At 35.1% G+C, this 11467-nt stretch overlaps 1 protein-coding gene and 1 pseudogene across 1 annotated transcript; both read right to left on the reverse strand.

Moving 5' to 3' along the window:
• Positions 1-949: 949 nt before the first annotated feature.
• OR5B17 (olfactory receptor family 5 subfamily B member 17) lies at positions 950-1895 on the reverse strand. The gene has a single exon (NM_001005489.2). It carries the CDS (start codon positions 1893-1895, stop codon positions 951-953), a length of 945 nt encoding a protein of 314 aa, NP_001005489.1. The 3' UTR covers position 950.
• On the reverse strand, positions 8747-9394 carry OR5B1P (olfactory receptor family 5 subfamily B member 1 pseudogene; annotated as a pseudogene).

The following is an 11467-nucleotide window of genomic DNA, read 5'->3' on the forward strand; positions in this document are numbered from 1 at the left end:
GTTTTTACTGTGCATCTTATTTTTGATGGTTCTGTAAATGGAATTTTCTTCATTTTATTTTTAGATTACCTATTGCTAGTATATAGAAATACCACTTATTCTGGTATGTTGTTATTGTATCCCTGACACTTTACTGAATTGATTTATTAGTTCTAATAATTTTTAGGGGATTACTTATGATCTTCTGTTTTTTGAGACGGAGTCTCGCTCTGTCACCCAGGCTGGAGTCCAACGGCACGATCTCAGCTCACTGCAACCTCCGCCTCCTGGGTTCAAGCGATTCTCCTGCCTCAGCCTCCCAAGTAGCTGGAACTACAGGCATCCACCACCATGTCTGGCTAATTTTTTTGTATTTTTCGTTGAGACAGGGTTTCATCACGTTGTCTCGCCTGGTTTTGAACTCCTGACCTCAAGTGATCCACCTGCCTTGGCCTCTCAAAGTGCTGGGATTACAGGCATGAGCCACTGGGCCAGGTCATGATTTTATATTTTAAATAGCAAACAGAGATTCTTTTATTTCTTTCTCTCAGTTCAAGATGTCTTTGATAGTCATAGGCTAAGTTTAAAAAAAAAAGAATTATCTCTGCCTTTTAATTCTAATATATTATTATTCTAATATAGTTATTTACCATTTATAAATTGTCATATGAACAAGCTGTACCAAATACCTAAAATTATTAATGCCTGAAATATTAGTTTATTAAGAAACAGTAATGACTCATAGTTGGCTAAAATATGACAAGAGACAACACATATTTCATTAAACTCCATGAGAAATTGTCATCGTATTTTTCTAACTCGTGGATACTTAGAACTGTTTCTCAACTAAAGACAAAAATAATATTAGATGAAATTTTACATTCTATATACCATATAGCATTTTAACATTTGAGTTATTGTATAAAGTAGATCTAAGTGAGATAAAATAACATTGTGATGATTTTGCATCATTAAAAGACTGAATCTAGAGAATATTTTGCCTTCTCAACAACCTTCATGAATGCATTCTTCACGTCTTTGTTCCTCAGGGTATAGACTATAGGACTGAGCATGGGGATGATCATAGTGTAGAACACAGATGCAATTTTGTCTGTGTCCATGGAATGACTGGAACTTGGTCGTATGTACATGATGATGACAGTTATATAAAATAAGAAAATGGCAATGAGGTGAGAACCACAGGTAGATAAAGGCTTCTGGTATCCCTTACCTGTGTGCCTCTTAAGAATGGTGATCAATATGAACAGATAGGAAATCAAGGTAACAAGAAGTGCAAAAAAGACATTAAAACTTGATATAAGAACAAGAATCAACTCACTAATGTGTTTCTCAGAGCAGGTCAGAGTAATGACTGCTGGTTTGTCACAGAAAAAGTGATGAATCACATTGGACATGCAGAAAGAGAGGCGAAATGTATCTCCAATTTGGATAGAAGCATTCAGAAAACCAATGACATAACAGCCTATAGCCAGACAAGCACACACACGTGTTGTCATGGTGGTGGTATAATGTAGGGGGTTACACACTGCTGCGTAGCGGTCATAGGCCATTGAGGACAAGAGGTAATTTTCCACAGTGGCAAAGACTGCACAAAAGAACATCTGAGCAGCACAGGCACTGTAGGAGATGGCTTTGTCTTCTATAAGCAACCCAGTTAAAACCTTTGGAGTGACAGCTGAGGAGTAACCAATGCCTGCAAGAGACAGGTTACTGAGAAAAAAGTACATGGGAGTGTGGAGATGAGAGTCCAGCAGGATTAATATGATCATCCCCAGGTTCCCAGTCAGAGTGATGAGGTAGATGAGGGTAAACATGATAAAGAGGGGAACCTGTAGTTCTGGGGCATTGGTTAGACCAAGCAGGATGAATTCACTCACCTCTGTATTATTCTCCATGGATGTTATTTTAGAATCACAAGATACTCTGTAGCAAGGAGAGATAAAAAAGAAAAACCCTGTGATGAACAAAACAGAGTTGCACAAAACTGAAATGTATGTGTTATTTTATTATAGCAATGATTTGTTTTCTATATTTCCTAGATCAAAATTATGGATATGAAAACACAATTTAGTGGATAACTTATCTATACAGTAATAGACTTTTGAAGAAAAAGGGTCTTCGTGGATCATCTTTCCAGCTTCTTAATTTTGTGTCTGAGTAAATGGAGTCATAGGAAGGGAATAATGAGTTGTCCAATGTCACATGCCTGAAGTGAATCTATCTCCCAAATAATATGTTTTTTGAATCTAACATCTTAAACACACTTATAGTTGTCTCATGCCAGATGCTTTATATGTACATCCTCATAGAATTCTCTCATTAATCCTATTATTTAATTAGTTATTATTGCCAATTTATACATGAAGTATCTTGGTAGAAAAAAAGAGTTTGAATAATTTATTCAAGATTACACAAGCACCAGTAGATAGAACCAAGCTTTAGACACAATCAGGGTGGTTCCCAACCTAAATTAAAAGAATTAAAATTCTTTTAATGAATTTGAATTATTTTAAATGTTAATCTATTTATATGTACTCATTCTATCTATTATACCAAGCATAACATATGAAGTTGCATAGTAGAGCAATGCACAAATAAATGCATACTAGATGAAGTGGAATAAATGCAGCATTAATGTCATGTGCAACCAACAAAGCCAATTCTGCAGAGAAGATATAGCATTGGGTATAAAATCTAGGACTCTAAGAAGAGGTAGATTTGTATTAACTCATAAGCCCTAACATTTACTACTTGGGAGACACTGGTCTTAATCTAACTTCCTTGAATCTCATTTTATCCATTAGTCAAATGAAGATGATATTAGGACTTATGTCAAGAGATTATTTTGAGAGTTAAATGAGATAATGCTCAGCTGTTGGCAAAATGTGGGCACTCAGCACAGTCCTGATGAGTGCTAGCTATAATATTATTATTAGGATGGAATGGTGGTGCATATGTTGGTGTAGAACACATAGAGGTGACACACAGGGCTGAAGGTGTGGGTGGGTTTTCAAGTTGGCAGTTTTACTCTGTCTGATCTGTATTTTCTTACACACTATGTCCAGTCTTTTGTTTCCTTCAGCATTTCTCACTCTATCCATTCTTTGCCAGGTGAATGACTGTGTCAGCCATCTAGCATGAGAACCCAGGGATCTTCAAGTCCTGTTGTGTTTAATTTCTCCCTTTCAAACTACATTTTACCTTGTGTTGAAACAATCCCCTTTTATCTTAGACACATTCTTCCTGTCATTACTCTCAACACTTAGCAGGATATCAGATATTGAGGGTTGGAGGTTCGTAGTCTTGGGGGCTGACTGTAGGCTGCAGATGTGTTTATGCACAATCTTTTTATTTGAATTTGAATCTGTCAGAAGGACATTCATTTCCTCATAACCACTATTGATTGTCTATCATTTTTCTCCTGCCCCCAGTACACATCAGTTGACACTTCTAGAATTCAAATTATTTGTTTGCCAAAAAACTACCCACATAATAATATAAGCTACAATTTTTATTGTTTTTCTTTAAAAATTTACTATGTTCTATGACAACTGAAAGGTTCTCACTGTACCTACCTGGATAATCTAGGATAATCCTACCATCTCAACATGTTAATTTAATCACTGTGAAGTTTGTAAAAAAATCACATAAGGCCACATGTTTATGGGTTTCAGAAGTTAAGATATGACCACCTTTGGGGAACATTATTAAGGCTGCCATAATGAGTATGAATATTATATATCATAGGTAAATTATCTCTAGAATCAGAAATGGTTGAGACATCTTCACAGATCACATAGCCAACTTCCTAATTGTATATATGAATCACTAGAGGAGCAGAGAAAGTATTAAATTCTCAAGTTCACATATCTGGAATACATTGATTTTATAAATCAGATCTTCTAAAGTTACTAGCAGCTTAGCCTTTGTACTTATGAACCAGTTTGTTTCATGAATGATAGAGAGATGATAGATTGACAGACATAGATATCAGAGCATGGAGAGAGAGAGAGAGAGAGTATTTATACAGACAGATATATAACCCCATTTGCTGTTAAATATTGGGAGATTAGAGGAGTTTTGTACCTTCCTCATATTCTACACTTAGTAAGATAAATTCAAGATTCAAACCCATGTCTAACCTATTCCAATTTCTGTGCCTTTAATCACTGCAATGTCAGATTTTCTAGATTAGCAAGTAATGAAAAAGTGAGATTGTGAGGAAATGATAGTAAAAATGGAATAGGGATCTTGGTAGTGTCATAATAATCTTTCTGAAGTCTATTGAAGAGTTGTTGCACCCTGTTTGGGGGAGCTATTCCTTCAGCGACAAACCAACACATAATAAACCAGATACATTTACCACCTACTCAATCAGAGCATCATCCAGCCTAGGGTTTTACTACCATCTTAGGGAGAGCAGCACGGCATTTCATAAATATCACTGTATCTGCTGGTTAAGTTTTCTTTTTTTTTTTTAAACAATGAATGCTAGACCCACTTCCATGTTTTAGAAAAAATGTTCAAACAAGTAGATCTGAGCTCAAAAACTCATACAAGATGTAGCTGCCACACTGCTTTTGCATCAATTACATATTTCACCAAAAGTATATATTGAATATAGAGGCTTACCTTGCTCTTTGAAAAGAAGAAAAAGGCAGTTCTCAATTGTGAGTCTGAAATCAGAAATTCATTCTTGGGAGAATGCCTAAATAACATTGGAGAAATTCTCTATCATGTACTTTTCAGAAATGTTCAAGTTTTTTGAGGCATAAAGAGGTGGAGAAAGAATTATTAACATGGAGTGCTAACTCAAACATGTCATTTTTCTATGTTGTATCATTTTTCTGTGTTGTGAAAGTCTGAGTTCAGGTTTTGCATGTACCATGGGTTTTTCTGTGAACTTGAAAAACTTATTTATTTTCTGCTGAGCTCAGTTTCCTCATTTGTGGAATAGAAATGAGAAAATGTTTTCTCCCACAACTTCACACAATTGTATCTATACAGAGAAAATGACAGTGGACCTATACAGACCTTAGTAAGTTGTTATCCCTTCATCATGAACCAATACAATTTTTATCTTGGGAAGTTTTTTTCTGCCTTTGGTTGGAGAATCACTGCAATATTCTCAGTTTCAGGAAAGACCAGATTGTGCACTAAAAGTATTAGCTTTCATTTGGATGAATGAAGATTAAAGTGGCTCTGGTTAGAGTCTTATCCATTTTAAATAACGTCATGTGGAGCCATACTATGATTTCAGATCTTACTGACTGGCAGCCAGGAGAAAAGTGTACATGTATGGAACTCTCTGGGAAACAGCGTCCCTATGAGGGCAATAGCTTTCCTTTATCTCACTTATCTAGGGAAGAGGCAATTACACAGCATCCAGTGATAGAGTTTGTGTTGAGTCACATACATGTTTATTTGTGGTAATTGCTGTCATGCCTTTTTTCTCCCCCAATTTTATTAAGTTGTTATTACATACATGAGCAGTGTGTTGATCTATTTATATTTACTGTATTATTGATGTGTAATACATGTCAAATATTTATTTTGTTTTCTTTTTATTCATTTTTCTACTTTCTATTTTATAACTTGTTATATCTGATAGCAACTGAATTTGTAGATTGATAAACATAATCCCTGTTTTACTTTCTTGTGTTTACAATCAACTGATAAATATAACATAGGTGTCAGAGAAATGAAGATTAGAATATTCCTTAATATTTATATTCAATTCAAAAATTTGATTCAGATAAATAGGTGGATGGCCTTCTTTTCTATCTCAAATTACTATTTCCTAGCAAATATCGTTAGTGTTCTATCCATCCCCTCTTCACTTGTGTTGTCCATGTGCAGGCCAATACTTATTGTGAAATAAAGAATGTGAAATTTGCGTTTTGCAGACTTAGGGCTTAGAATTTGCTGTAAAAGTAGGTTCAGCCCATGTGTGGAACATTTTAATTTCTGTGGTGTGGAACATTTTAATTTCTGTGGTATCAGCAATCAGTACATGATAGATAGAAGTAGAGTGATAAGAACCCAATTCCTACTTTTTCAGGTGGTATAACTTTGAGACATATTTGATAGTTTTCCAGTGGTTCCTGATAGACTAAGGCCCAGTTTTCTTCAGGCATAACCTACTCACTAAAGAAACCCTTTATTCCCCTTCCTGTGTCCAAGTGTTCTCATTGTTCAATTCCCACCTATGAGTGAGAACATGCAGTGTTTGGATTTTTGTCCTTGTGATAGTTTGCTGAGAATGATGGTTTCCAGCTTCATCCATGTCCCTGCAAAGGACATGAACTCATCATTTTTTATGGCTGCATTTTATGGAATACTAAATTATTCCATGGTGTATATGTGCCACATTTTCTTAATCCAGTCTATCATTGATGGACATTTGGGTTGGTTCCAAGTCTTTGCTATTGTGAATAGTGCCGCAATAAACATACGTGTGCATGTGTCTTTATAGCAGCATGATTTATTCTCCTGTGCATATATACCCAGTAATGGGATGGCTGGGTCAAATGCTATTTCTAGTTCTAGATCCCTGAGAAATCACCACACTGACTTCCACAATAGTTGAACTAGTTTACAGTCCCACCAACTGTGTAAAAGTGTTCCTATTTCTCCACATCCTCTCCAGCACCTGTTGTTTCCTGACTTTTTAAATGATCGCCATTCTAACTTGTGTGAGATGGTATCTCATTGTGGTTTTGATTTGCATTTCTCTGATGGCCAGTGATGATGAGCATTTTTTGATGTGTCTTTTGGCTGCATAGGGGCCTGTTGTGGGGGTGGGGGTAGGGATAGCATTAGGAGATATACCTAATGTAAATGACGAGTTAATATATTCAAGATATATAACATTTCCATCACCACAAGGATCCCTCATGCTGACCTTTTATAGCCATGACCCCATTCCTTCTTAAATACTGGAAAAAAATCTGTCCTCCATTTTATAATTTTGTCATTTCACAAATGTTCTATGTATGTGGAATTATGCCTTGGATTTTTTGTGACCGTTTGAGACTGGCTGTTTTTACTCAGCATATTCTTCCCAATATTCATCCAGGTTTTTGAATGTATCAACAGTTTATTCCTTTTTATTGAGAGTAGTATTCAATGTGATGGATGTACTACAAGTTGTTAACCTTTCACCCAAGGAAGGATATCTGAATGGTTTCCAGCATGGTTTCTAATTTTTGACTACTATAAATAAAGGTGCTATAAACATTTACACACAGTTATTTTTGTGAACATAAATAATCATGTTTCTGGGAAAATGCCCAGGAGTTCATTTGCTGGATCTTATGGCAGTTATGTATAAAAAACAAACAAACAAACTAACAAAAACAAACAAAAAAACACTAAACTATTTTCCATAGTCTATCTTATCTATTTTTGGTTTCTGTTCCAGAATTTCTAATTACTTTCTATAATTTCTGTTTCTTTATTAATAGTTCACTATTTCTTGAAATATCTTTTTCCTAGCTTCCTTTAGTTTCTTGTTCAAGATTTCATTTAGCTCTTTGAGCGTATTTAGGATACATGTCTTAAAAGTGCAGAAAAATATAGAATCCTGATGAATGAAGTTTTAATAATTGAAATTAGTGTATAGAAATATTATATTCATGAATTGAGAGACTTTATGTTGACTGCTCTGAAGATTCCTTGCAATCACAATTTAAATCCAAGCAGCCTTTTTAAAAAAATAAATATGAATACACTGATTATAAATTATATGGAATGGCAAAGCTAATAAAGATAATAAAGTTGAAGCATGCACATTACCTGATTTCATGACCTTCTATAACTTATAATAATCCACATAAGTGTGGCATTGGGAAAAAGACACACAAATCAATGGAACAGATTATTGAATCTAGATATTGATGCATCGTATATAATCATATTTGCATATAACCCATGCAAATCCTCACATATACTTTAAATCATCTCTAGATAACTTGTAATACCTAACACAATGTAAATGCTATGTAAAGAGTTATTATACTGAATTTTTAAATTTGTATTACTTTTTATTGTTGTATTGTTATTATTTTTACAAATATTTATCTATCCATGGTTGGTTAAATCTGCAGATGCATAGCAGAGACACAGAGAGACGATTGTACTTTTATTTAAAAGTAAATCACATTTATTCTCAAATTAGGACTCTAAAACATTTATTCAACTAAATAAATAATATTATACATAAACTGAAATTCAAATAATTAATTACTTAAATTATTTTTGTAAAAGTTAGCCATATTCGATTTAAATCTGGCAAATTTCCCACTCCTGTGTATATGTGCCCACATGAATAAATATGTTCATGGACCCATTTATGCACCTGTTTTACATGTGTGCTTTTCCTAATATTTGGTGGTGGACATGTATGAAGAATTAGTGAATGAATCAAATATGTTCTATAAAGTTTTTGACAAGCAAAACCCAAGATATCTTACTATTCACCTTAGCTTTCTCTTTTAGGTATTATGTTTTTGGACATAATATTTCTTTTTTCCTAGAGAACAAACTTCTGAAGAAGTAATGGTATTATTTCAGAAACTTCCATGTGGGCCTTAAAATGCAATTCAGAACAGAGGAATGAAACTAGGTATCATGCATCCTGCAATGTTAAACTCACAATAATAGAGACAATTTTGCCTTCTCAATAACTTTCTTGAATGCGCTCTTCACTTCGTTGTTCCTCAGGCTATAGACCAGGGGGTTCAGCATGGGGATGATCATAGTATAGAACACAGATGCCAGTTTGTCTGTGTCCATGGAGTGACCAGAGCTGGGCTGTAAGTACATGAAGATAATAGTCCCATAGAAGATGATGACTGCAGTGAGGTGGGAGGCACAGGTGGACAAAGCCTTCTGGTATCCTGAAGCTGAGTGCATCTTTAGGATGGTGATAAATATGAATAGGTAGGAGATCAAGATAACTAGGATGGCAGAAAAGATATTGAAACTGGCTACATAAATGAGAACTAGCTCATTCACATGTCTATCACAGCAAGACAGAGCCATGACTGGTGGAACATCACAGAAAAAGCAATGGACTTCATTGGACATACAGAAAGAGAGACAATGTTTCCCCAATGTGTATGGAGGCATTCAAGAAACCACAGACATAACAGATTATAGCCAGACATGCACACACACTTGTTGTCATGGTGGTGGTGTAATGTAGGGGTTTGCACACTGCATCATAGCGGTCATAGGCCATTGAGGCCAAGAGGAAATTTTCCACAGTGGCAAAGGCTGCAAAAAAGAACATTTGAGCAGCACATGCATTGTAAGAGATGACCTTGTCTCCTATAACGAGCCCAGCTATGACTGTGGGAGTGACAGCTGAAGAGTAACAAAAGTCCACTAGAGACAGGTGACTGAGGAAAAAATACATGGGAGTGTGGAGATGAATGTCCCAAACAATTAAAACAATCATCCCCAGGTTTCCAACCACATTGACAAGGTATATGAGAGTGAACATGATAAGGAGGGGGACTTGTAGCTCTGGAGCATTGGTTAGTCCCAGGAGGATGAACTCTGTCACTTCTGTACAGTTCTTCATCAATGTTATTAGAAAATCAGAGGATGCCTGCAGCAATGAGAAATAAAGGAAAAGAATGCTAATACATGTTGTGGAATAGATATTGCAATGAAATGGAAACATCTATATATTAGTGCATTATTTCATTATTATAGTAATACACATTTTAAGATTCTATATATCTAAACATAAACTTAATTACAAAGTATAATGCCTTAAATAGCTGTAGAGTTATAAACTGCTGAATTGAAAAGATCTGCATGGATTATCTCTTACCAGTTTTCACCTTCCTATCATTGTAAACCAATATTTGGAAAATTATATAAAATTTCCAACATGTCTGAATAATATATATGGCAGGTGTGTGTATATATGTATACACACACACACACACACACATATACCAATTCAGTTTTTTTATTCTAGTAAAAACTTTTGCTTGTATATTGCCCATCTGACAGAATTGCTCTAGATACTTTGTAAGTATATTCATTGATTCTTCTCAACAACAAGTTTGATTAGTTGTTACTTTCTTTTAGAGTGAGAGGCACAAGAGGTTGAGTAATTTATTCACATTTACATAAAAATTAATGGCAAGCCAAGCTTTGGACGCAAGCAGAGTGGTTTGAAAGCACAACATTCATAATTGTCTCTACATCAAATTGTTTAACTCAATCAAACAGTTACTTATCGCCTCCATTGGTACAAACTCAGTGTTTGAGATTTCACAGTGAACGAGAGAGATTTGCACAGCAGTTGTATGGTGATGACTGGGACAGTAGGGGCATGTATAATCAGTAAAGGTAATTCTGATGGGAAGACACAGAAATGGATATAGAGCTTGACCTCTGGTAAGAGCTGCATATCAGCTCAACCCTACCATTTGCTACCTAGGAATCATTGATCCTTACCTATCTCCTCTGAACCTCATTTTCTCTATCTGCAAAATGAAGATAGTAATTATATCTACCTGAAGGTACTAATGTGAGATTTAAATGTGAAATGCATAAAACAATGCATAAATGTTGTATGGTTAGCCAACTTTATGAGTGCCAGCTACATTATTATTAGAATGAAAAAGTGAGTGATAACATTCAGATCTTTAGGTGTGGATGAGTTTTGAAGTCTTGTAACCTCCTTCATCATTTTGCTTATTCTCACACAGTAGAGCCACTGAGATTTTCTGTACCTTTCAATAATTCTTCGTTGTTGCATCCATACAGTTGGCTGTGCTAGCCATCCCATGTAGCTGTTTTTTTGCTTAATATCTTTTTTGAAATCCATAGTTTAGCCTGCACTCAGTCTCCTTTTCTTATACTCATTCTTTCTCTCAGTAGTGGCATCCCATATTTGAATCACAGAAATCAAGGATTGAAAGCTCATAGTTTTTGTCTTGCTTTAGCCTGCAGATCTGTCTTTGTGACAAACTCCATGTAGTAAAATATTTTGTTTTAATCTGTTCTTACGTAGGAACCATTTTAATTATTTTAATTTTAATATTAAGTCTTTGGAAGGATATCCATTCAATGCTAACTACTAGTCCCTTCCATCTTCCTCCTTCGCCTTTAGCAACTTCACTCCTCAAGCCAACCCCTTGAAGGCTTTCTGTTTATCTACTTTAACACACATGACCACTTTTCTCATATACCATGTTCTACAACCAATGATAAGTGGGTATATTTGTGTTATGCATGTGTGTGCAGTATAAGGTAGGTAGTCGTATTATTTTTATTTTACCATTAATGCAAATGAGAATTTATGAAGTTTTGGGATGCTTTACAATTACACAGCTAGTATGAGGAAGATTCAAAATTTAAACCCAGTTAGGACCTAATCAGCAGCCAGTGCTTTCAGCGATACCATTGTCAATGTGTATAGATGTACTAGAAGTAATAAGAA

Source organism: Homo sapiens, chromosome 11 (assembly GCF_000001405.40).
Source record: "Homo sapiens chromosome 11, GRCh38.p14 Primary Assembly".
In the NCBI taxonomy this organism is placed as follows: domain Eukaryota; kingdom Metazoa; phylum Chordata; class Mammalia; order Primates; family Hominidae; genus Homo; species Homo sapiens.

What these genes read in the sequence shown, in the direction of transcription:
- OR5B17 (NM_001005489.2), bottom strand. Translation starts at nt 1,895, where the DNA reads ATGGAGAATAATACAGAGGTGAGTGAATTCATCCTGCTTGGTCTAACC.